Genomic DNA, 27,944 nt, shown 5'->3' with positions numbered 1-27,944 from the left:
GGATCTCACTTCTCAGCTGATGCAGGCAAATGACTTCCACTTATTCCTCTCCTTTGCTGCAGGCAACATATTCCATTTCCTTTGTTAAAGTAAATTACAGTGGAGACCTGGCCTGCAGAATCCTTGAGCAGACAAAAACAGTTAAGTCTCATAAGTGATCTCAACCTTACCTGATTTCCAAACATATGCAAAACTTAACTGGAGTTATGTCATGTAAATGTCTATATTAAGGAAAAATCAAATTTAATCTCCACCAAGCAGAAGTGGCCAACATACTTATAATTATATAACTACGGATTTTCCACTGGACTAGTCCAAATAAGGCAACTGTGTCACTAAACCAACCAAACATTTTCTCTGCTTTACCTCTGTGTTTCTCCTTTAAAAGCTTCCCTGCCGTGTGCCACTGGTGGAGCTGCTAAACCACTTCTGATGTGAAGCTGCCTGATGCATGAATGAATGCTTCCTCAAATAAACTCTTTAAAATTTTATAGTGCCTCAATTTATCTTTTAAAAGTTTAATTTCAGAAATGTAAAAGGGATCCCTGATGACCCCCAGGAGGGATGAGTAACCAGGTATAAGTATCTGCTGAGCCCATAGTGCTCACTGCTTTCTCATCACATTTGGTGGTCACTGGGTACGTCCTTCTTGGATGTCAAGATCTGAAAATTGTGTCCTTAGCTCTCTAACTTTATTTGAGCAATTTTTATTTTAGAGGTTAGACTGGGCCTGACAAAACTGGACAAGGTCCAGTCTAGTGCATGTGCTTCCATGTTAGAAGGGCGAGGTTCAGAATCCAGACTGCCATCCAGAAGTCAAATTGTGTTCAGCAGGAACTGGACTCGGTTCAGTTGGAGACCTGTGATAAGCAAAATTTAAGGCAAAGTATTATCGGTTCATCAGAATCCAAGGAGTCTAGGACACTTTAATCTGGAACTCCAGCTAATTTTATGTTCAGAAGTCTTGGACCCAGACCTAGGTCTTTCTAAAGAAATTGGTGTACCTCAGGAAGACAAGGAATTACAGTAGCAACAAGGAAGAGGTTTTACTCCTTATGAAATTATTTTTGTATGGGTGCATTAGAAAAAAAGGACCCCCAAAACCTCAGAAACAATGAGATACATTTTTTGATTGGTATGTAGAAGCTTCCAAAACCCAGAATGACTCGAAAAATTAGTTTCTCTAAAAGAATCTTTACAGTGTGTAATGAAAAATTAACCTTAATCTTTAACATCAACTTTCTTTAAAAATTAGATCTTCAAATAAGACAGAAGAATCTGCAAACACAACTTTTAACTCTTAATCTTGCATATAAATCCAACCTATTATAAAAGCAACTGCTTAAGGTAAAGAGGAAAAAAAAAACTAATTGGAAAGAGACTGGATGTCTCCTCAGTCATTCATCTAAAATTTAGCCCACAGTCTCAATAAATTGACTCCTGATGATAAGCGAATATGCCCAGAACTCCTTCCTGGAGAATACTTAACATCCTTTCTCTCTGCCTTTGAGATGTCTAAATCATTAAAAGGCCTCAGGGAAATGACTTGTCAGAAACTGAGTAGAAAAAGGGAAACTTTTAAGAACTTAACTAGCAAATGAAAAATCTAAAAAGTTTCTTCCACAAATATCAATAGAAGGCGTTAGCCATCTAAACAGGCCAATATAACTACCAGAGACACAATTTGGATCTAGCTAGTGAGTAAGTACATTATTGTACCTGGCACATAGCTAAAATTTCAGCATAGAAGCCATGACTGTCTGTTTGTGTTTGTTTGTATGCTTATGTATGTCTTAATATATGTATATTATTTACTTATTTGTAATAGTATTCCACCCTCAGATGGTATTATTACAAATAATCTTGAAAGAGCTATATTTAATTGGACTAAGGAAAAAATGAGCATTTATATAAATTATTTTCTCAGAAAAAAAGGTACTTATCCAAATGCTTTTCAAGTTCATGACTTAAGTAATCTTTAATAAATAAGAATGTTGGTTAATTTAGTAAAATATTTTACTAGTCAAATAGGCTTGTTTTCTTTGTCACAAAGATACACAGCTTTACTAATCAAATAAGCTTGTTACCTTTGTCACAAAATGTATCAACAAGAAAAGTAACTTGAGATGACAGTTTTGTTTAATGTTATGTCTATATAAAAACAGTTTTAAAAATCTGTTTGATAACTTAAAATCTTAAAACTATACTTTGTTAAATTAAATAATAGATATTTATTAAGTATCTATATTATCTCCAAATAAGATTAAGTATAAAAGCATTAATTTTTGGCTGGGCATGTTGGCTTGGACCTATAATCCCAGCTATTTGAAAAGCCAATGAACATGGAAGACTACTTGAGGCCAGGAGATCGAGACCAGCCTGAGCAACACAGCAATACTGTCTTAAAACAAAACTAAATGTTAATTTCTGAAGATAATATTAACTTTACATATTTTTGGCTTATTTTAAAGAAGAACTAGAGATATTTGAGTCTGCTGGTAAGCATGTCCTAAACTATGAGGAGCCACATGCTATTGAAACAGTGAAATCATATACTTCCTTATTTTCACTAGATATTGGAGTTACTAAGGATTAAAAATTTTAATTAATATATACAATTAAAATGATCAGTAATAAGGATGCAAGAAATAAAACTGTATATAAATATGCATTAAAAAGTAGGATGTTCATTTAATAATGATAGAGGCAGGAGGCAGACAAATCCTAGGCAGACAGAAGTGGGTCCCTGGTGAAACTCCATCTTCAAGCCAAAAAACAGTCTGAAACCCACAACCTGGAGTGAGGACTTCTGTTTCCATTTGCCCACTCTTTCCCAACTGGTTCTTCCTGAGAAACGCTTTTTAACCCATCAAATGGTATCTTTTCCAATGCCACCTATGGCCCACTCATCCCCATTCTGTGCCTATAAAAGCCCTGGACTCAGACACATTGAGAGAAACCACCTGACTTCGGTGGAGGACCACCCTTGTGTCCCCTCACCACTGAGAGCTGCTCTGTCACCCAATAAAATTATTCTCTGCCCTTCTCACTCTTCAATTATCAGTGTGTCCTCATTCTTCTTGGATATGGAACAACAACTTGGGAACTACCAAATGTGTGTACAAGCTATAACACAGGTGGGTAGGGGTATGCCTGGCCCAGGTGCAGGCTGAGCCAGTGTGCAAACCAGGCATGGCCTGGGAAGGCTGAGTGTGTGGGCTGCCTCCTGCAGCAGGTAGTGTGCCCAAGCAAGGCCTCAGTTGGGGGTGTCTGGCTAGCAAAGTGACTGAGAAAAATCCTGTGTCATTTCTGGGCACTCATCTGGGATCCCTGAAGGGTGAGTAAATGTGGACCTAGACTCTTCACTTTTTTTCCAAGCCTTCTTGTCCTCAGACTTTTTCTGAAGGCTGATGAAGCACTGAACCTCTGATTAGCCAGTTAAGAGTGAACACACAGCTACAGAAGACAGGGTGCTGGAGAGGACCCTGCCACTGCCCCTGTTGCTCTCAAGGGTTGGGAATATTGGCTTTGTTCCAATTTAGTCTTTTCTATGGCAGTTTCCTTCTTTCTTTGGGGGCTGTGATGGCACCTATCTCTTTTTTTATAATGTTGAGGGTGTCATTGCAGGCTACAGATACATTACTGGGTAGGATAGGCAGTTGGCCCAGTCATCTAAAATGTGATTCAGAACAATGCAGTTTCTGTTTATTCTTAGAAGTGGAGAGGATGTAGCAATTAAGAGGTTTTTTTCCCCCTGTTGAAGGAAACCATTTGCATACAGCAATAGGCTTTTTGCCCCAAGGCACCTATCCCTTCCCTGCACTTAAGCTGTTTCATATTTTTTTTTCTCCATGATGTCAAGAGTTCACATAGCCCTGCAAATAAAATACAGGGAGCTTTTCTATGTGTGAGGGTTTTTTTGCTGATTTTGGGAGGCACCTGACTAGACGAGGTCTCCAATTCATAGGACTTTCTTTCTCTCCCTCCTTTGAGGAAGACCTGTTTCCACAACTTCACCTTAGCACACTGTTTATGATAAGAAAGCAGTGAAGGAGTAGCACCGCTGAATACTGGCTGCAGTTTGGCAAGGACCACTTGAGACTTAACTTAGTGAGTCCATGCACCTTCCTTAGGTAACTTTTTGTCCCAAACTCAATTCCAAGCTTCAGGTTGAAGCCCTAGAAAGGAAAACAGCAGAAGTCTAAGGGCACAGGGCAGATAAGCATGACTAATTCCTTCCAGTTACACTCCCTCCATTTCATGGACGAAGGTCCTGCCCATATTCATAGCATAGATGAGGTCTAGAGAACTCAAAGGTTACTGATGGCAGGGAGGATAGACCAGAACAGAGGTGAGTGCAAATATTTCTACCCTTTAGGCATCCCTGTTACATGGGTGAAGGCTGCATTGGCACCCATGGGTGGCACCTGCCAAGCATTGCCAGAACTCAGGGATAGAAGGACAGAAGAAAAAAAGGGGAAGCTTTTTATTTCCTCTCCCTCACCTACCCTGGGTGTTCGCTGGGAACAGAAAGAAAGTAAGGGATGCCTTTCTTCCTCTTTCCAGTTGGGTAACCAACCATCTTCAGTCTGTATTTCTCTTGAATGCATCATGAATCACTGGGACTTTTTTTTTTTAAGCCTTCTTTTTCGTATTTCCTCCTCTGTCCTCTCTTCACAGAGAAATCGCATCTCTGTACCACAGGACACTCCCCTAGGAAGCATCCCCTAAATCAGGAAAAGCTTAATTTCCCCAAACCTTAAACTGGCTTAAAAATGAACTGGGAAAGAATTACCAATTTAACTGAACATTCTCTTCAGGAGGGACAACTTTTACAATATGCAGATAATGTCTTTTTTGCTCCCCCTTTACAGGACTCCAGAGTCAAAAGGGCTCCATAGCTTCGGGGGAGAGATCCCAGAATCCTGACATGCCAGCAAAGGGGTAAAAGTTTTTTACTAGTCAGACTTCCGGCTTCTCTCTCTCGCTGTTTGTGCAAACTGAGAGATTTGAATGAATGGCAAAAATCACTGTTTATATCCTCTGTAAAGTTTTTGATTAATGGAAAAAAAGGATTTGTGAGGCTAGTCTTAAACTGTAGCCAATCTGGTGTGCTTTGTGTGTCTTTCTGTATGGTTCTGTCATAAGGAGGAATACCTTAGTATAGAACATGGGCCTAGGACCCTATAAGCCCACTGTTCAAGTCAGCCCAGCAAATTGGTCAGTAACAAACTTTGCTACAAACAAAAAGCTGAACGAAGTTTCCCTCTTGTCTTGTATGTCCTTGGGAGCTTGACCTTAAAACTACGTGGCTCTACTTTCTTTTGATCTCTGCCATTTTACAATGGCAGCCTGGGTTCAAACCTGGTTTAAGTAGTGAGTACTTTCTGGTTAATATCTATGGGACTTTTACCATTTGCTCATTCTTTTCCCCTCCATGAACAATATCTAGCTTTCTTTCTTAAATCTTCCTTTCTCTGAGCTACTTTTCAAGATTCTAGATTTTGTAAAAACTGCTTATCACTTCTTTGAAAATACCTCATACACTTGCAGTTAAGTCATCTCCTTATTTTGAGGCTCCTTGGTTTCACTGGTGAGGTTACTTTTGATAAAGTTCAAAAGCCAGAAATATTGCCTACTTGGTGTGGCTAAAGTCAGGTTATAAAGGATTTAAAAGGATTTTTTTTAAAGAGCTCTATGGTTAAAAGTAATCTTAATTAAGAGTGAATAGCCAAGCTATAGGTATATTTAAAAAGCCTTTATGTCTTTTTTTCTCTTCTTGGATCTTGTTTTGTTGGAAAAACTCTTTTTCTTCTCAGTCAACTGAATTATTTTTCTCCATTTTGTCTTTCCAATCTTAATGCATGCAAGAGAGGTCCTAAGATAGCTTCTGATAGCGTAGGACCACATGGGAAAAACAGAACCCATCATGGACCCCATTTTAGGAAAAAAAAAACTCTGTTTTCTTCATGGAGCCCCAAGAACTAAAAGTGGATAAATCCCTCTCAAAATCTGTTTTTGTCCTCCAGCTATATCTGCTTATTAGGCCCTAGAAACTGCATGGGTTTTTTAGCCATGTTTCTTCAAGGGCTCCACACAGAGGCCAGTAGTCCAATTAGGAGATTGGCAAGTAAGAAGTCTTACAACTACTGCATCTTTTTCTGTCTGTCTGTGTAGTTACATATGTGTTATATATGTGATGTTTTTATAAACAAGAGCTCTAATTGATTGACTTAAAGAAAATAAGCACTTAGATCAAATATTTTTAAAGGAAAAATAAAAGCTGCAATGTCTTTTAGTTCACATGACTTTAATCTTTTGAGAAATAAAAAGCAGTTTTAAAGATTATTGGTAAAATACAAATGTCTTCAACATGTAAATACATGGTCTAAATTATGCAGGTCAAATACTAAGTTTACTAAATGCTTTAAGCTCATAAACTGCTTCTTTCTTCAGCTTTTGAAAATTGTTCGACTTGCCTGCTTTACTGTTTGGTAAGGCCTGGGGACACATGGAGTTAACCACATCCCTGACTATGCTGGAAACAGTCAGACTTTATCTGTGCCTAGTACAGAATTAAAACAACTTACCAGGTTTTACATTAAAATTAAAAATTGCTAAGAGTTATCATTATAACATATAATGGAGATTACTGAAAAGAGATTGCATGCAAGGTATTTAAGGAAAGTAAGATGTGTTATTAGTAAAAGATTATAAGAAGGCATGGAAATGTAAAATTTTTGCCTAGTTTAGATGGTTAAAGGACTGTTTTAAATTAAATGAGATAAAACTAAAGGTTTAAACAAGTTGTGGAAGGTTTGTAAAAATTAATCTTGTAAAATAAACTCGTGTATTAACATATTGACTAAGTTCAAAAAGGTATTATTATTTGTTTTTTTCATACACTAAGCATTGTAATAAAAACAAACAAGGTTTTCTTAAGGCATTAATCTGGTCTTAAAAAAATTTATAAAGGGTTATAAAAGGTTTATAAGAATCTCACCTCATGGACAAACAGATTAAGATTGGATAGAATTATCTATTATATTTCATTAAAAAAACTGTAGTTGACATTTATAGTAGACTAATGTGAGGGTGAAATTTGGTTTTCCCTCTCTTGAATGAGATTTTCATGTAATATTAAAGGATAATGGAATATTTTTGTTTGCCTTGCAAATAAACTACTGAAAAAAGAAGGGAAATAAAAGAGACGTTGTTTGGAAAGCTGTCTTCCCTCTTAATGAGTAAAGGTTGATGCCTTTTAAATAAAACTTGGAGTCATCATCTTGACGAAATAAGTTACTTAAGGTAACTTTGAATTATTTTTTATAATATCAAAGTGTTTTTAAACCTTTAAAATATTTAATAGGCTTCCCAAAATCAAGTTTCAGCTTTTAAATTGTCTTTTCTGACCACTAATGTTTGGATGCCTCAGAGGGCCCTGAAACATTCAAAATAGAGATAAACAGGATTATTTAACCTGTTTAGTTACATGGGAGAGCCAAAATAAAACTAATGTTTAACCTTCTTCAGGTTATATTTTAGTGAATAATAATATATGTTCAAAAATCATATGAGATTTTGAAAATTCTGATGTCTGAATATATGCTATCAATCATAATTAGAGTTATTATGTTAAATTATTATAAACTGCAGAAATAACCAACTTTCTTTGTCAATTTTGTTTTTATCTATAACTACCCTGGAAATTTTTATCATTCACAGACAATTGCTATCTTGTTTTGATCCTTTTCAAAAGATGGTTTCTAATTAGCTATGGGACTTTGACAGGTGCTCTTAAGTTCAGATTTCTGATAATTTTTAAGATTGTGACATTGGAATAGAGGAAAATGTACAGGACTCATGAAGAGCTGAAATGTTCATGAATATCAAGTAGAACAAGAGTTAATGGAATAATATGAACTAACAGAAAACTGAAGTAATTCTTTTTAACTTTTTGCTTAAAATGTTGCTGATCCTTTGTTTTTCAAAGTCAGAAAAACTTTTATTTTGAGCTATTTATAGCTTTTAATATTTGAATAAGATATATTCCTGTGAACAAAACTTGGAGCATATTTGTTTCTCTCTGCCTGGTCTCTTCAAAATTTGGAAGCTGCTTCTGAATATTCTTAACTTATGGCAATATAATTATTTGCAAATTGCAGTAAGAATCCATTTCTTTTACAACAGGATGCAATTGGAAAAACTGGTTGTTTCACCAAGGTTTTGACTAGAAGGTCATCTTTCCCTTTAAGAAATCAAGCTTGACTTGCAGAGCCAATAAAAGCCTCATGGGAAAAATGGCCTCATACCTTGTCTACACAGTCCCTGTACAGAGTTCCCAACCTGTGATGAGTAAAGAATGTCACTTTCTAATAGGCCCAGGAACCCCAAGTTTTCTTGAGACCTCAATAAGACAGGAATTTTCCCAACTCATAGGTATTTGTGGGTACAAACCCATGGCTGGGTTCGGCTTAAAAAAGTCTTATCTGAGATTCCTTATAGAACAGGGTTCCATCTAAGCCAGTTTTTAAAATCCTATGTGAAAATAATTATTCTTGCTGCACTTTATGCAAATAATCAGGCCCAGTATAAAATTAAAGTTTATTTTGCAAACAACTCAGCCTTATCATGATTTGTTTTTCAGACAAATGAGGACTGGAGAGAGAAAAGTTATGTTTCAAAACTTATACACTTGTCATTAAATTCTAGTTTCATTAGTTGTCTTCAAGTTTTTGTCTACATTTTGGACTAACCCTGCTTATTCCTGTCAACCAACCAGTGATCTCTGGTTGCAGCTCAGAAGGAACAAGAGAGATGGGTAATGTAAAAATCTGTATCAATATTCTACTTCCAGGCAATCATCCTGCAAATCCTGCGAGTTGATAAGAATAAATAGGTTGCACATAACGAAGAGGTTTCTTTTTGGGGAAAATAAAAGCAAGGAAGCTAACCAAAGCCAAACACCATGCACCCAGATCTTAGTAGACATAACAATAGCCACCAGTTATCTGGGCTTTTTGGCAGCCTCAGGGGTTTTGAGCTGTCCTTACTTTTTTGTTTCACTTTGATCCATGCTTCTAATAATCTGGTTTGTCTCTTCTTGCCTTCAGGCCATCAAACTCCAAAAGGTCATGCAACTGGAGCCTCAGATGATGGCTGACTTTTACCAGGAACCCTTAGATAGGCCTCTGACTGCTGTTTTCCCCAAATAGTGCCCCTTGTCAACAGGAAACAGTTAAGATTGGCCATTGTCCTTATCCTAATGGCAGTTAGATGTACCTCTTCAGATGGGAGATAGATAGAGGCAAGAGGCAGACAAATTCTAGGCAGACAGGAGAAGGTCCCCAGTGAAACCCCACCTTTAAGCCAAAAACAGCCTGAAACCTGTGACCTGGAGTGAGAAATTCTATTCCTGTTTGCCCACTCTTTCCGGATTAGTTCTTCCTGAATAGTGCTTTTTAACCAATCAAATATTACCTTTTCCAGTGCTACCAGTGACCTGCCCCTTCCCATTCTGTGCCTATAAAAGCCTCAGATTCAGCTACACTGAAAGGGAAACCACCTCATTTTGGGTGGAGGACCACCCCATGACCCCTGTCTACTGAGAGCTGCTCCGTCACTCAATAAAATTATTCTCTGCCCTCCTCACTCTTCAATTGTCAGTGTATCTTCATTCTTCTTGGATGTGGGAAAATAACTCGGGAACTGCCGAATGTGGGTACAAGCTATGACACAGGCAGGCGGGGGCATGCCCGGCCTAGCCACAGGCTGCACCGGTGCACAATCCAGGCATGTCCCATGTGGGCTGTGTTGGCTGGCTTCCTCCCACAGGAGGTAGCATGCCTAAGAGAGGCCCAGGCAGGGAGCATCACCAAATGGAGGTCCCTGGCTGGCAAAGTGAAGGAGAAAAATCCTGCATCAATAAGAAAAGTATGGGCCGGGCGCGGTGGCTCAAGCCTGTAATCCCAGCACTTTAGGAGGCCGAGGTGGGCGGATCCCGTGGTCAGGAGATCGAGACCATCCTGGCTAACACGGTGAAACCCTGTCTCTACTAAAAATACAAAAATTTAGCCAGGCGTGGTGGCGGGCACCTGTAGTGCCAGCTACTCGGGAGGCTGAGGCAGGAGAATGGCGCGAACCCAGGGGGCGGAGCTTGCAGTGAGCCGAGATTGCGCCACTGCACTCCAGCCTGGGCGACAGACCGAGACTCCGTCTCAAAAAAAAAAAAAAAAGAAAAGTATGTAGGAATATTCTCATTTTTATGGCAATATGAGAATATCCATAAGTTCAATTAGAATCTATTTTCCTTGTAATAGGACATAATTGGGTTAGTTCTTGCCTTAGCTTCTTAGCCCATGGAGCTTTTTAAAAGTCCAACCAAAGATTCCTCATTACCAGCTAGTTTTAAAAAATTAAGGCTGACTGATACTAAGTCAATAAAAACCCTTGGATACTAACAAAGCTCCAGCTAAAATATCTTATTTTAAAATATACATGACATTATTATTCTTGTTACATATATAAATACTCAAGTTAGATAAAAGTAGATTTATTTTGTAATTACTTTTGACAAAAATAGAAACCACTGAAAAAAGGAGATTATGTTTTAATAGAAAACTATAATGCACCCATGATCAGATTCTGGTCCTGTTCATTTTCTTTGAGGTTTTCTTATCCAACTGTAAACTGAATTGAATCCTACATTTTTCTAGTTTAACAAAAAACTAAAACTGCTCTTTTCCCAAGCCTGGCAAGCTGAAACTGGAAGACTTTAAACCTCATAAAAATCAGTACAACATATTATGTGTGGACATCCTTCATGCCTACTGGTATATTGTTTACTCTGAGAGTTCATTAAAACACCAAATGACATATCCAGAGACATTCAAAACTGCAAACCAGGAAAATACATCAGATTGCCACTGTAATTGTCATTTCACAATCTAAAGATGCTTCAAACTCAGATCTAGAAATCTTGACTAGCTGTCCTCTGAAATCAAAAATTAAGATCAAACCTTTCTCCAAATATAAAAATTTGTTTATTGTTTGTTTTCATAGGATGATACTTTGAATTTCCTCCAGGCAATACCTGTAATGTACAATTTAGCCTCAGTAGTACTCCAAAATAGAAGCCTTTAATGCCTAAGAGCTTAAGAAAGAGAAGCTTGTGCTCTTATTGATAAAAATGTTGTTTCTATGTTAATAAATTAGAAATTGTTTCCCTAAATGTAAAGCCTTTTAAGGAGCAAATATATCTTTCATCAGATAGGTGCCGCCTCTTCCATTGATTTATTTAATTGGTTAAACTTTGGCTCCTGTCAATCCCTATTTCAGAGAATTTTTCAATATTTGGCTATTATTCTCCTTAAAGTCATTGTATTCACCTCCCTGTTGCGTTGTATTTCCTCAAGGGCTTTGAAACATATTTTTAAATGCTTTCCAGCAACCACTTACACATCAAATGATTGTCATTAGTTTAGACAAATTGAAGAGCTCAACAACTCAACCACTCAAGCCTATGACATAGATATTGGTCACTATATGACCTTACATCACAATGCAATTGTTGATGATGAAAATATCTATATGACTCTTCATTCCAGAGAGTCTATCAATAGCGATAACTGTGCATAACACTATACTATTTGCTTGTTGAGAAGATAACCAAAATGGAGCATTGTTAAAGTAAATTAAAATGGAGACCAGGCCTGAAGAATCTCTATGCAGACAAAAATAGTTAGGTCTCATAAGTGACCTCAAACTTGCTTGATTTCCAAACATAAGCAAAACTTAATTTCAGCTATTTCTTGTAAATATCTATATTGAAGAAAAACAGAACTTCAACTCAACTTATCAGAAGTAGCAAACTTAAAATTATATAATTAAGGTATTTCCAAAGGCATAGACCGAATAAGTCAGTTGTATGACTATAAGCAATAAAGTTCTTTCTCTGCTTTACTTCTGTGTTTCTTCTGTAAAAGCTGCTCCTTTCATTCCCTTGGTGGGGTTTCTAAACAACTTCTGGTTTGAAGCTGGCCAATGAATGATTCATTATTTGCTCAAACTCTTTTAAATTTTATTTCGCCTCTGTTTACTTCAACACCTCTTTGCTGGGAGTGAGTATAGAACTGAGGTTGGCCAGGTGCCATATGATGCTCTCACTTTAAGAGGACAAAAGAGAACACATTGAATCCAGAAAAGAGAAAAGTATTTCTACACAAAACGATAAGTCTAGTGAAGGCTGTGAGGGCTCTTTGTCTCTTGAATAGAAAGGTTCCAGCTCTGAGACCCATTCTTAAGTGACCAAGGCACTGTATGAAGACTACATGCATATGAGTGACTTTTATAATAGTCCACCCCCATTGACTATTACTCAGCCACCAAAATAACAGATAAAAGACATCAACTCTGGTAGAACCATTGCCCAACCCAAATTTGGAGGCAGAGCTAAATAAATGTGGACCCCATACAACTCATATGTGTACATTTGTTCTCAGAGCTTCCCTGTCATTTTGAGACAGCATTTTACCAGGGTCACTAGGAGAACCAGACCCAGGAAGATAACCAGGTCTCCCTGGAAAATGGTCTTCAACCAGGAAATCCAAGTGTTAGGCTTAGGATGACTATAAAGAGGTAAATAATTGAGTCTAGTGGGGACTGCAGGTGTACAGCTGATAAGCATCCTGCTTGGGCTTAGGTCTTTTCCAGCCCAGTTTTTACCTTCCCCAAAATGTTAACATACACACAGTAAGAGGTATTGGCAGTAACACAAACATTGTTTCATTCCATCAACAGACAACGGGCAATTTAGAACCATTAGGTTGTTCACCACCTTGACTGGTGAGTTTAGTGGGTCCTGTTTGTCTTGACTGATTTGAAAAGGGTCTGAGTTGTTGTGTACCAGCCAGCCCATTACAATGGGAGTGTGGGATAAGGCGACTCCAGTCTGGGGTGACGAATCTAGCATTATTTAAGATTGCACATTGCATCTTTTCACCACAGCTGTCCTGGTTCTTTTCAGGGTGTTTTTGTGCCAGGCACCACAGTGTCTTCTGGAGAAATGAAAAAAAAAATTAATGTTCCCACTCACCTTTTGCTTTACAAACCTCCTAAAGTGGAAGATGCTCTTATCTAATAACCTAGAGTGAGGATTGCCCAAATGTAGCTACCCAAGCTACCTGCCATAGTCGTGAGGTTACAGCTTCTGTGAAGACCCATTGTTTCTGTCCCTTGACCCATATAGTTTGGCCTTAGTTGTCTAATCCAAGAAGGAAGGTTACGCCCTGATCAAATTTGACATATCCTGTAATGTCACATGCCTAAATTGAGGGATCAAGAGTACCAAGTACAACCAAGAAAACACAGCATGTCCATATATTTTTACCCCTTCCTCATTCCTGTGGGGCACCACAGGAGGGAGATGCCCGAAGGTAGTGTTGCCTCCAGGTTTGAATCAGAAAGCCCTATTGGTGCATCACTACAGCCTAGATCACAAGCCACCCTTGAGGAGTATGTTTCAGAAGAAACAATGAAAGAATGGTGGTGTACTAAAATTGGGATTTCACAGGCATAGCCTAATTATCCCACTACCTGGCCCTTTGTGCCCTCTAAGCTCAGTATTTCTTAACATGTGTTGCAATGCCATGTTTCCCATGCTGGAGTGCAGTGTTTAATTTCCAAATGCCTTTTTTAGATGGGGATGTCTTCTGCTAAATTATTTTTCCTGAAGATCTTTGTGTAGTTGAGCCTCTCATTCCATCATGCTAACACTCCATTCTCCTGGGGTTCCATCCAATGCCATGGGAGCGTGCACACTGCTGCACAGCTTCTGCAGCAAATGCAGTGTCTCAGTCATACTGAAGTTTTGTTAGATATCCAAACATGGCTGAGGTGGGGTTTTTTTTTTTTGTCACAATAATAGTTTTTGCATTTACATGGTGCCTTGAAATGGCAGTCCCACATCTGAAGTATGTGTTCATGGCCATAAGGCACCACCAGAAATCATGGCTGGAAACTAATGGTCTGATGTGGTCAATTTGTCACACTTACATGGGTCCCCTGTCCAGTGAATATGGCTCAATTAGCTGCATTGTATAGCCTGGGCTTGTTGGTGGGAGTCATATGAGTGTGCTGCATTTTGGGGGGTTGTTTTTTTGAGGGTCAGTCCTCCCATTTGGCTCATTCTTGCATCTGAGTTGGGCTTCCATGTCCCACTTTGTGGTGAATCCAATGGGCAATTATTAAAATTTGTTGAAGGCATGCTAGATCAGCTTGTAAATTCCATTTGTGTTTTCTTTTGAATGGTCCTTTGTCATGGGTGGCATGACATGGGTATCACATGAGTGGTAAATAAATATCTCTTGCAGTTCAAAAGTTGCTATCATAGTCCCCGTTCCTAAACAGGAGCGCCTTTAATGGTCCACTTATTAATTCATCAGTCATTGGACCATATGGCTAGCCCATTTTCAATGACCCATGAGTCTATAAATATGTAGCAGGAATTTGCTGTTGGAGTAGCCAGTACAGCCATCAGTACTACATGGACTTGGCCCATTCAGCAGAACATCTCATCTGGTCTCAGTCAAAATATGACCATCCTTGGGGCAGGGGCTGCAGTGGCCCAGTGGTCTCCATCAGCTTTGAATTTCATATATCCATCCATGAACCAAGCCATATTATCAGCTGGAACATTTTTAAACTGTGGGATTCATTTAGCTAACAGAGGGACAGGGGTATCTCCTATGGGTATTTTGACCTCCTCCAGTGAGGCGGCTACATATTCATGGAGTTGGCTGACTCACTGAGGCCTTGGTCTAACATTATTTTGGATGTGTTATTTTCATTTAATGATGGAGCTTTGCTGAGCCTATTTTACACTATTAGTGAAATTTGTGAATACCCACATGAGGATAAGTTGCTCAGGTCTTTAGGTGACATATGTTGCTCTGTTTTCATTAGGGCCCAACAGCAGGCTAGTGGTTGCCATTTGAAGAAGTTGTACCTAGGAGCTGCCTCAAATAATTTACATGTTTGATAGGTCAAGTCATTTTGGTAGCAGTATCTCATTGCTATAGGCTCCAATCTATATGAGTAGGAGTCACTGAGACTAGCAGTTCCATAAGGCTGGCTAGCTTCATTGATCCCAGAGGCTGGGCCCATGCCATGGCAAGGTTCATGGCCTCAAGAGTCTGCTGCTGTTGGGGCTCCATTTAAAGGTGGCCACCTTATTGGTAACCTTCAACAGAGGGATCAAAAGAATATGCTCATGTGGTGCATATTATTGCCAGCAGTCAAACAGGCCTGCCAGCCATTGAGTTGAATCTCTTTTCATTGGTGGGATCTGTTAAGGGCAGCATTTTTCATTTAACCTTGTCAGAAACATTTTTCTGATTATTGGCCCAGGAGGTTCCCAGGAACTTCACTTGACGAGCAGGTTCCCGGACTTTATCAGAGGTGATGACCCAATCCTTATGTATCATAGTATCTTATGACTTTGTGTAGGGCCTGATCAATGTGTTCCTTAGGCCAGCAATGAGAATTTCATCAATATAATGAATGACAAGTACTCCCGGGGATAATCAGACTTTTTCAGATGTAGCCCTACCACTGATGGCAAACTGCAGGGGAATTGTGGTATCTCTGTCAAAGTAAGATGAAAGTATACAGCCAGATACTTTCCTGCAGTATTCAAGATAAGACCAGCTTGAATGCAAGCTGGTCCTATCTTCTTCCCATAGAGAGGTCAAGAAGAAGGCATTAGCCAGATTTATAATAGCGTATCAGTCTCCCATGTGGTGCTACCACCCAGGTTACAGTGATAAATGTTAAGTATCGCAAGACATTCAGCCTGCAGTTGTCCACTGTCAGCCTCCAGGCTTGTAAGACTTTTTTTTTTTTAATAGGATCATATTGGATTGTTAAACTACAACAGAGTGGTATATGGCACTCCTGCCTGCAGCAAGTCCTGAATTAACACACTAACAATTTTTTCTCAACTTGCTAGGAGGTATTGCTTTTGTCAAATAGCCTGTTGGGACTTGGTTAACTTAGCTGGCAGGAAAGAAGTGGATATGCCTCACTGTAATGATTCAAATCCTTTATTGTGAGAAGGAATTCCCCCTGAGGTGTCACTGATGTTCCACGCTGCTAGTGGCCAAAATATCAACACCTATAGTACATTTTCAGTGTTAGGAACCATGATCACAGCTACCTGAAATGGCCCAAAGGGCTCTGCCCATAAGTACAAATAAACTTATCTGCCATGGATCATCATGTTCATCCCCCAAACCTACAATGTTACCAGTTTACCCCTATTCCTTTGGAGGTCTGGGATTACTATCACCTGGGCACCAATATCCAAGAGACCCATTAAAGTTTGAATTCATTCCCCATTTTTTCCACCTTGATAAGGCATAAGGCTGCTGGTTTTCTCTGACATGTTGGCCCCATCTCTTGTCCTTTTCCTGGAAAGAGGTAAGATCTGAGTGCATGGGAGGGGGGATTTTCCTCCTCGTCTTACTTTTTGTGCTCCCAGTCTGAATAGTCTTTCCTTATTGTCCTGGTCAGGGAGTAGGGAAGCCTTAGCAACTTGTACATTCCTCATCCCTGGACTGTGTCCAGAGACTTGGAGGGTTTCTATGTGGGATTATAAGTCTTTCCAACCTTTGGAAACCTCTTTTCCTAGCCTTTCTTTGACTCAGGCTACAATCCTAACCTCCAATGAAGAGAGATCCCCTTCCACTTGATAGTGTTGGTGGGGGTCTCTTGTTATGATCCCGTCTATTTTCATTTTGTCTATTCCCTATTTTAACAACAAAAGCTATGATATTCTGAGAGTTGGCCATATTTTCCCCCTTTTTCTTTTCCTTTTTACCTTCTGGACTCCCGTTTTGACCATTTGGGCAAAGCTTCTCATGGTTGTGTTCTCATTGATCTAGGACAAATCCCTAGAAACTACCATTTTCTTGCTTTTTTCACAAAGTGGGACATTTCTGTAGAGCTTCTCCTCAGGTGTCCCTGTAGTCATTTCAGGGGACAAGAGTAGAGAGATGGGAATCTTTCACTGGGGAGGACTCTGTCACATAAAGTCCTCCAGTGCGATCAGGAATAGACTGTGTCATCTATGTCTCCAGGGGCAGGTTCATATAGCCAGGTGTTTATGGCTTTCACCCTTTAAAACAGCTATGACCTCATGAATATTTTTAAGGGGTATTACTCTTAAGGAAGTCCTGTGCAGTTGGAGCCACCACTCTTCTATTCACTGCCATCCAGATCAAAAGTGACATGGGCTTATCTCTGTCCTTGTCATGTTCAATGTGGGCAAAATGCACTGCAGCAGGTGGTCAGTAGTTAGTTTTCCCAGACTGTGCTATTAGGCCCCAGGCATTTGGATATACAAGCTCCCTCATTAAATAGGTGCACCAATCAAGTCACATAGGACTTCCATGGCTTCTGCCATATCTAGCTCTCAGATTTTGTATTCCACTCTCAGAGAAGAACCTCATTTTAACAGTTTCATTTGCAGCAATACCATCAATGATTTTGCCTTGAGTGAAAACTGGCTTTACTTGAGGTCTGCAAGTGACCTGGATTGGTTGGAGCTCCCTGAAGGGTCCTCTCAATTCCCTAAGATATTGTCTCTGATCCTTGCTGATGTGGTTTGGCTGTGTCCTCAAACAAATCTCATCTTGAATTCCCACGTGTTGTGGGAGGGACCTGGTGGGAGGTATCTGGATCACAGGGCCAGGTCTTTCCCATGGTGTTCTCCTGGTGGTGGGTGGGTCTCATGAGACCTGATGGTATTATTAGGGGGAGTTTCCCTGCACAGTTTTTTCTTTGCCTACTGCCATCCATGTAAGAAGTGATTTGCTCCTCCTTGCTTTCCACCATGATTGTGAGGCTTCCCCATGTGGAACTGTAAGTCCATATCAAATTTATTTTTTGTAAATTGCCCAGTCGTGGATATGTCTTTATCAGCAGTGTGAAAATGGACTAATACACTTGGGACATTGTGGGAGTTTGAAGATAGCCTAGAAGTACAAAAGCAGCCAGAAGTCAAGGTATAGTCTTTGTACCCTTCCAGGACCCACTTCTAGAATCTCTGTCCTTTTCCATTGCACCAACTCATCAATGTTGACAGGAATGACATTTCCATGTGGCCAGAGGGAAGCCAGCACCTCAGTCAGCCTGTCCTCCCTGCCCACCTCCCAGGGAACTAGTGCCTCTCTGGAATGGTTGCACTGGCGAATCCTTGCACCTCTACCATGCCATGACAACTTTGTTGGTGACCTTGCTTGCTACATCAAATTGTAGAGCCAGTGGCATCTCTTGCCATATTCAGTGGAGGATCCTCACCACATGGAGGATGGGAAATAGCACAACAATATATATTACAAGTAGCAGTAGCCTCAAGATGTCAACTCTGGTTTTCAGGTGGCAACCCTAGATTGCCAAGAAGACATGAACTCAGACATCATTAGGTCCTCTCTGGCCGGTGAGTCTCCTTTCATAGCCACAGAAGATGGTCTGCATATACCCCTCTTGCACTGCAGGTCAAAGACCCCATATCCTCCCTGCTGCTAATGGATATAATAGTGGGGTTGGCCAGGTGCAATATGACACATGCATTTAGCATGCCAAAAGGGCAAACACTGAGTTCAGAACAGAGAAAGATACGCCAGCCCAAGGTGCTAAGCCTAGCACAGGCGGGGAGGGATCTCTTTATCTCTTGGCAAGGAATTACTCCAAGCCCCAGGCCCATTTCTGTGCTGCCTAACTAGGGCAGGGAGACTGCACACTTAACTGCCTTTCCCCATAAAGGTATTTAGAGTTCCTATTTCAGTGTAGATAGATTCTGTACATGGGAACTCTTCTTGGGGAACAATGACAGGTTCATATTTAAGGCATGCAATCAAAAATCAGTATTTTCCAGCATATTGGAACTTATTTGATTCATGTGTAGATTCTATTTAGGCTAGAACTTGTATATTCATTCATATGTATGTGTTATGAATAAAATGTAGACAAGAAAATTGTTATTTAATTATTCTGTCAATGGAGAAAAAGTGAACTGTATTAGAAAACTAGTTGTATGTAAGAGAGTTCATCTATATGTGAATTGTTTAAGTGGGTTTGTTTTTAGTGTTGATCTAAGTATCATATATGATTATTTACGTGTTGAGATAAAAATGTGTGGCAATGAATGACAAATTAGTTTTGTAAATGTATCCTTACAGGTATCACATGTGGATATGCATCTGAGGGGCTGTTTTTGATAGTTAAAATGGACTTGACATTTTCCTGGAGAAGTTGCCAAATATCATATCCATTTCTAGACTGTGCATTATCACACAACTATGTTATGTTGTCCAATCTATCTTTAAGTTTATTTTTCCTCTATTCTATTCTTCCTCTTTAATGAAAAGTTTTTTGAGTGAACTGTAAGCTAGTTGTTATATACATATAATAAATTACATGTTTGGAGTATTGCATCCAGGTGAATTATTGTATTTCATTATAAGAACTAATTTCCAGTTATTGAATCTAAACCCTTTTGTTCTTCAGAATTATACAATCTTAGCCTTCTGGGTTGATTAAATAATATATTTGAAATTATTTGTAATTGTGAAAATGTTACAGATATAAGATAATCATATGTTCTATTATTGATGAGTGTATTCTCTGGTTCGACAATGCTATGGTAAGTGTAATTGCATTGTTTCTATTTATATTTTCTTATAAAACCACTAGATTACCAGATGAAGTTTGATATATAAACTCGGTCTTTTTCCAGTATTGTTCAGATATGGAAGAATTTTTAGATAATCACAAAATATTCTGCTGTCATCTATGTTCCTGATCATATCTAGGTCTATTAATAGTATATTTTTGCCACTCTAGTGATGGTGGGGAATATATCACACAATAGCATTAGGGGCATTATTATTCTCTCATGTAAACTAAACACTTTGTTAAGTGCCAGAGAGAACATTTGCTAGGGATCCAACTATTTCTCACCGATGACTATTTCCTCTACTCCTCCAATATGACATGTACCGTTAGGATTATCTCCAGTTCATATACTCAAACATTAAATTGCATTAAACAAAGCAACTGATAATACCATTCTAAATTTTATAATATTCAGAAATTAATTTTCTAATTTTTCTATTTTAATGATTTCCTTTAAACTTAATTAACTTGTTTGCATATGAGTTTGACATGAATTTGTAGTTGACTAATAAGAAAAATCGTATCTATTTGTGTTTAGTATGGAGAGATGTGAGTTTTGTGTCATATCTTCAGCCTGTAACTTGGTGTTTGTGAGAGGCTTATGATAGTTCTGTAAACTTCTCTTTTTCTTTCATCAAAACCAGACTGACAGCATATGTTAATCCAAGAACACTTAAAAATTAATTATTTAAGAAGTGCTTTGAGGTATCTAAGAGAAAGATTTATTATTTGTAGTTCTGTTGAATACAATATACACTGTATTATTTAATACATTTGAGCTTTCTGGTTTTTTTATGTATTTTATAAAACATCAAAGTATGCACTATCTTAGGGAGATTGAAGTGGTTTTAGGGAGTGCTGGATTAGAAGGCAAAGGAATACAGCAGCAGTGATTAATAAAGTTTGCTCCAATTTGTAATGCTATGATCATTCATTTATTTTTCCTTTAACAAATTTATATACCAAGAAGACACATTTCAGGAATAATAATAATGCCTAATTGAAATTCTTTAGCTTCTGAGAAGTCTGATAAAAATAGAAAGGAGTAAATTTATTTCTCATTTCATCAAATAACAGTCACACACATAATCTTCTAATAGAATTATCAACTTTTCATAATGATATCAAATTTTACAACTGTGTGATAATAACTTTGAACCAAAATTATAAATAATATTTTTCATTTAATTTATGGACATGCATAACTTCCACTGATAGGTCTAATGAACCTCAGTGTTGTTGTCAAAAAGTCTGACTATAATCTTTTCTTTCCTTTATGAGTCAGATGCTCTTTTCTTCTATGTGTCCCCAAAATATATTGATTCTTTCTTTTTTCTAACTTTCATAATTTTTTTTAGAATATGCTCTGGTATTGATGAAAGTCAACATTTCAAGGCACACAGTGTTATTTCTCAATATGTAGCTTTTTGTTTCTTTTTCCTTAAAAAAAAGTTTAAAGTTATGTTTTAGAATGTATATTTTATGTCCTTGCTTTGGTTTTCTTTTTCAGGGGCTCTTATGATCTACAGGTTTAAATTTCCTTATCTATTTTCAATATCTTGACTATTTTTTTTCTAAATCCTTTTGTCTCCTTTTAGAAATTTATCTGTTTGTTTTAAATTTCTTTTTACTTTCTATTTGTCTTAATGCATTATTTTATTGTTGCGTTCTTTTGTTTTAATGCTCTTTTTTAACTATTTGTGTTAATGCATTATTTTATTGTATTCTTTCGTCGTCAGTACTAATTTCTTAAATCGTTAGTACTAATTTCCTAAATATTTTTCTAGTATCTTCAATTATTTCTTGAGTTCTGAGATCTCAATTCTGAGTTTTCTATTTCTGATTTATGTTGCTCTTTCATGTCTTGTATTATTTTATTAATGTCTTTTAGTTCATTTTGAAATAGTAGGTTATAGTTTTGATCTCTTTTGTGCACCAGTCTTTCTGGCAAGCTCTCCTTGTCTGTACAGATAGTATTCTTCTTTATTCTCTTTATTATTATAATAACTTGGCATGCATGCGATTTGATATTTATGCTGTTCTCTTTTTCAATTTTAGGTGAAATAAGATTTCCTGAGCTTTTCAATGGAACAGAGTTCAACTAAACTTTTCCATCTTCTCAGAGCTCCTGCTTTGGATATTTTACATCCAGAATTCAACAGTGTGGTAGATTGCTTTCTGTGAAATCCTGGCTATCTTCCCTTCCCTAGTGTAGTCTGGACCTTCCCTCTTGTTCATCTGTTTCCCCTATCTTGTTGAATCTTTATTTCCCTTGCAGCCGTTGCTCCCCAGAGCAGGGGCTTATACTAGAAGGAAGCCTTCTCTGTTCAGTTCTGAGAGTCACCTGGCACTGATATGCTCTGTCTCCTCTGGCCTTCTTACTACTGGTACCCGCTACTGGCTGCTCATCCAAGCCCTCAAGTTTCAGGTGCTTTTCTCAGACAGGCTATCTGTGGTTTTCAACAAATTCATGTCGGCTATATTGGGGTCTGTGGATGTTCTGTCAGAAGCTTCCCTTGTGGCTTTCTCCTTCTTTCCCACAGACAGGTTTGACACCAATTGCTTGAGGTTTGGGGTTGAAGGGGATACCTTTTTTTAAATTAAGTTTAGCCTACAGCTACCTCCTTACATAGTTTAAGTTCAGCCTAAAGGTCTCTCCGTACATAGTGAACTGTAACCTAACTGGGTGTGTACACAGACTGTAACCTACCCATCTCAACAATCATCGAGATGGCCAAATGTTCAAGCCATGTTCAAACAAGGCAAACACCAAGTTGTAACCACTCCAGCTGTTTCTGTACCTCACTTTTCTTTTTCTGTCCATAAATCTACTTTGACCATGTGCAAGAGTCTTTCTGAATTTATTCTGGTTTGAGGCTGCCTGTTCTTTGCTCTGTTAAATTTAATTTGTTGAAGGTTTTTCTTTTAACACTTTTCACCTAGTTTGGCTATAAATGGGGTTTGTGGATGTGTTTTGCTATCCATTGCTCTGTCTGTTTTTCTGGGGAGATGGAAAAAATATGCTGCTGTTGTCTTTGCTACCTTTCTATGTCTCTAGTTATTAAAAATTATTAAATTCTAATATACATAGAGAAAAATGAATATAATGTGTAGCTTTAAATGTAGATTACCTGTGTTACCAGCACCCAGATAAAGAAATATAACACTAGCACAAATTACCTTAATGCTGAGATAATTTTAGAGATATACACACATAAATATTTTCTGGATAATTTCAAAATCTCCAGTCCATAATTTTCTCTCAGAATTCCTCTTAGCAGATAATAGCTTTAAAAAAAAGTACATCTACATTGAAACAGGTTTAGTAGTTCAACTGAAAATACACAGAAAGACCTTCTTATGCATAGTTAAGTCATCCTTTAAGTCTGTATTTTTGCTTTAACATGTATATAAGTAATCTTTTTTCTTCTAGGTAGAGGATTTCAGATTTGAAAACAGCATTTTGAACCTGAGAAAATATTTAATATGTTTGGATTGATTAAAATCTAATGCAGTTAAAAATTAGTGTCCAAGATATTGAAAAGAAAAAGTTATTTTCTTTGAATGAGGCTTAGTTTGCCTTTTTGAGAAGTTTCTCTCCCTCCTTTTCTCTGTTTAATGTTTCTTTTATTATAATTTTCTATCTGAATTTTTGGGGAGCAAGCAGTGACTTGATAATTTGACTACATAAATTACAATATAATGTGATTTGTTTTCTTTCTTACAGCAAGGCATTTAATGGTTGAAAAGTTGATATTTTCCAAGATAATTTAAAAATTATTGGTATGTATCATTTTAATATTATGATGAAACTTTCCTAACCTCTGTGTGTGTGTTTTAGTTTTAACATACAATATTTCATACAATATTTTTTATTATTTATTTACTCATTTTTTTTTTTTTTTTGAGATGGAGTGTCACTCTGTCTCCCAGGCTGGAGTGCAGTTGTGCGATCTCGGCTCACGGCAACCTCTGCCTCCCAAGTTCAAGCAATTCTCCTGCCACAGCCTCCTGAGTAGCTGGGACTACAGGTGCATGCCACCACACCCAGGTAATTTTTGTATTTTTAGTAGAGGCGGGGTTTCACCATGTTGGCCAGGCTGGTCTCAACCTCCTGACCTCATGTGATCCACCCGCCTTGACCTCCCAAAGTGCTGATGAGATTACAGGCGTGAGCCACTGTGCCTGGCCTACTATTTAAATTATATCTTTGATAGCTTTATGTTCAGTGGCTAGTACTTCCTCATTCATTACCCTTATACCCCTGGAGGGGTGGGATTCATTTTTTTAATTTAGCAATTTTTAAAAAATGCAGTTATCAGATTCTTTATTTGCTTTAGCCTGAGGTGGGGGCGGGGGGTGGGTGGGTGTGTAGACTGCAGACAGAGGCAATTAAAAAAAAAAAAGATTTGCTTTTGAACATTGCACACCACAAAATGTCAAGAAATCTAACCGTATAATAATTTGAGTAACACTGAATTCTAATTCATTATTGTGTTATATAGGAAAGATAATTTTGTTTTTATTTTCCACCTTAAGGTTTTTCTCTGTTAAAAAAAAAAAAAAATCATTCAGGTGTGGTGGCTCATGCCTGTAATCCCAGCACTTTGGAAGACCAAGGCAGGAGGATTCCTTGAGCCTAGGAATTCAAGACCAGCCTGAACAGCATGGTAAGACCCCATCTCTACAAAATTGAAAAAAAAAAAAATAGCTGGGAATGGTGGCACTTGCCTGTAGTCCCAGGTAGTCAGGAGGCTGAGGTGGGAGGATTCCTTGAGCCCAGGAGATAAAGGCTACATTGAGCTGTGTTTGCACCACTGACCTGCAGCCTGGGCAACAGAGTGAGACCCTGTAGCGAGAAAAACAAAAAAAACTCCAACCAAACAAACAAAAAAACCACAAAAACAGAAAACAAAAAACAAAAACACTTGTTTTTATTTTCAAGATTTGTAACCAGTAATGTAACAGTTTAGAAAAGCTTAACTTGGTGCCAAAATATTCTGATTAAAGGAAGTGTTATCCTTAACACAATTGCTTAAAATTCAGGAATATAAAGGAGGCTACCACAGAAAAAAGAGTTCAGAATTCCACAGTTCAAAAATGTTGTCAGAAGCCCCTGTGACAGAGATGGCTAGGTGCAAGCAAGCTTATTTCTTCTTCCTGGCTATGTCAACTTCATTTTCTGGCTGACCTTTCAGTTTCTCGTGGCCATATAACTGAGTTCTACTTAATAGAATGCTAACAGAAACGATATACACTTGAATTATAAATGTGGAAACTAAGTGTAGAAAGGATCTATCCAAGACAAATGGGCCCAGGATTTTTGGATCACCCCTTTAGAAAATAACTGTCCAACAATTAGAAGCAGCTCTTCAACACTCCCATATAATTTTCTCCTGTGTTAACTAACTTCTGAGATAAAAAAATTATCCACTGATAAGCAGCTCTCTTTCATGAGAAATTTTCATATGAAATTATTTTAAACTCTCCCAGGGAGTGGGGGAAGATTAAAATTATCATGCTATTAGAAACATGTCTTAGCTTGGAGATGTTAATCTCTTGTTACCTATTTAAATTGCAAATACTTTGCCATTTTTCCATTGTGTAAGGTTCTCTTATTATATGGAAATACGGTAGAACCAAACCTTTTAATCTTTATTCTGTATTAAATCCATGCTCTCTTTATGAAAGAATTTATCTGCCTAGAATTGTTGGAATATTCTTCTATTTTTTTCTTGGAAACCTTAATTTTTTCCAGTCTAAAAGCAATATAATGAGAAAAGTAGATTATCGATTGAGTGAATTGGGGCAGAGTTCTATAATCAGCAAATAATATTTTTATATTATTGTTTTTGTATAAGAATTTTTAAAAACTACATATATATATATTTTTTTCTAATTTTTAATTAATTGAGATTATATTTATGGCCTTATTCATATATTATTTCCATAAACATTCATGTAGTGTATGAAGTGTATGTTTAAACACTGCCTGATATTGCATTTTTATATATAATTAAGACAAGCTTGACTTTAAAGATTCAGTTCCCCTAAAGCCTTTCTATCTTTTGGGTATTTAACCCATTGATTTCTGAGATGGCTTTAGTACTGTCTTCTTTTACAAATATGGGTTTTTCAAAAAAAATTATATGTTTTGTCACTTGCATTGGTTTTCTGATGCTGCTATTACAGGTTATCACAAATTTAAAGGCTTAAACAATACTTTTGTTTCTTCTCTTACATTCTGAATGTCAGACATACAAAATCAATTTCAGTAGGCTAAAATCAAGGTGTCAGCAAGGCTGATCCTTTTCTGTCAGCTATAGGGGAGTGAAATGGTTTGCATGTTTGTTTCCCCCAAAACTCATATTGAAACTTCATCTACAATGTGGCAGTATTACGAAGTGGAACTTCCATGAGGTGATTGGTCTATAAGGGCTCTGCCCTCTTGAATGGATTAATCCATTCATGGATTAATAGATTAATGTGTTAATGAGTTAATGGGTTATCATGGGAATGAGGCTAATGGCTTTGTAAGAAGAGGAAGAGAAAGCTAAGCTAGCATGCTCAGCTCCTTTGCCATGGGATGTCCTGTACTGCCATGGGATTCTGCAGAGTCCCTATGAGCACAGGCTCCCACCAGATGAGGCCCCTCAAACTTGGACTCCTCAGCTTCCACAACTGTAAGAAATAAATATTCTTAAGTAAATTACTCAGTTTCAGGTATTATGTTATAAGCAAAAGAAAATGAACTAAGACAGGGAGGATCTGTTTTTCTACCTTTTCCAGCTTCTAAAGGCTTTCTTTATTCCTTAACTTGTGCTCTCTACCTTCAAAGACAACGGTGTATTATCTTAAAATCTCTCTCTTACTCTGTCTCTGTTTCTTTCTCTCAACTCTGCTTCCATCATCACATCTCCTTCTCCTGCCTCTTATAAAGTCCCTTATGATTACATTGGTTACACCTAGATAATCCATGATAATCTCCTCACTTCAATATCCTTGATCACATTTACCAAATCCCTTTAGCCATGTAAGGCAACATATTTCCAGGTTCTGTGGGTTAAAGATGTGGACATTCTTCAGCCTGCCCTATCACTATATTTTTAAGAATTGCCAAGTGAATAGTCATTCCTATTATATCTTATTTGAGGATATTATTCTTTTGTCTTTGAAAATATAAGACAATCCCTTTTGCTTTTTTGATCTTAAGATGTATCTGATGTTAATAATTTTCAGAAGTGTTTTCTTTGATTGACATGCTATATTCTGTTATTTTCTTCATTGTGCTCTTCCTTTAGATATGTTCTTTCTCAACGGAATATAGCTAGAACTCAATGTGAGAGCACTTCTTTAGTAAAATAATTTAACCAGTTTCTATTAAATATGCTAACTAATGTGTTTGGTTTATGATTTCTTTTTTATACTGCATTTTTTACTTATTTTTACACTTTTTATTTTTTCTGATAGTCCATGAGCCTAATTACTTTTTTTATGTTTACCTGTTATGGTTTCACATCTTTTATTGGATACACTGCTACAAATCCCTATTTACTAGTAGTTTCCTTCATATTTTACATTCTCATATGTTCCCTGATTTACCAATCTCTACCTGTCTTCCTTATACTACTACTCCAACATATGAATTTGTTGAAAATTTACAAAATTTGATTTCAAGGTTATTTTTTCATTTTACTTTGAGTATCTGCATTCTGCCTTTATTTTATTTTACTTTTGGCTAAATGCTTTCCTTAAATACTTCCACAAGATATTCGTGGATGACATATTGCCGAATTTCTTGCATGTTCCACAGGTCTTTTCTTTGCTTTCCCATATGTATGTTAATTGTGCTTATGTTAGGTTATTGGATGATAATAACTCTTTTCTCTCAAAGCCTCCACACTTTACTCTCAATCTTACGTGAACCTGATCCTGTGATCAGATTAAATAAAATGATGCCTATTTAATTTTTTGCCTTCATGAAGTGAACTGTTCTCATTATCATAGGCCTGTGTGGTAGCTCTTTACAGAGACGGCAAAATATTACAAAACTATGTCTAGGTCTATGTATTTTTTTCAATAATTGTATTTAATATTTTCCTTTTAAATCTAAAAATAACTTTAGATAATCACACAAATTTCTTTGCAAATTACTATTTTTTCTAATTTATTTTTCTCTCCCTTATTATGTGTTATTTAAATAGATAATC

At 37.5% G+C, this 27,944-nt stretch overlaps 1 long non-coding RNA gene across 1 annotated transcript in view, besides 1 other annotated feature; it reads right to left on the bottom strand.

Annotated features, from left to right (window-relative positions):
- Nucleotides 1-740: 740 nt before the first annotated feature.
- The window catches only part of LOC105377535 (uncharacterized), a 92,939-nt gene continuing 65,735 nt past the window's right edge, over nucleotides 741-27,944 (bottom strand). Inside the window, exon 5 of the long non-coding RNA XR_939444.2 lies at nucleotides 741-860. This is a non-coding gene — a long non-coding RNA (uncharacterized LOC105377535). The remainder of the gene's footprint in view (nucleotides 861-27,944) is intronic.
- Nucleotides 3,596-3,715: a silencer, noted in NCBI's record as "silent region_15801". NCBI's record gives its function as "represses an Ori minimal core promoter by ATAC-STARR-seq in GM12878 lymphoblastoid cells {active_cell/tissue: GM12878}" and the evidence as "EXISTENCE:reporter gene assay evidence [ECO:0000049][PMID:35858748]".

This window comes from Homo sapiens, chromosome 4 (assembly GCF_000001405.40).
Source record: "Homo sapiens chromosome 4, GRCh38.p14 Primary Assembly".
In the NCBI taxonomy this organism is placed as follows: Eukaryota; Metazoa; Chordata; class Mammalia; order Primates; family Hominidae; genus Homo; species Homo sapiens.
Note: the sequence above shows the minus strand (reverse complement) of the source record. Positions and strands in the feature narration are given on the sequence as shown.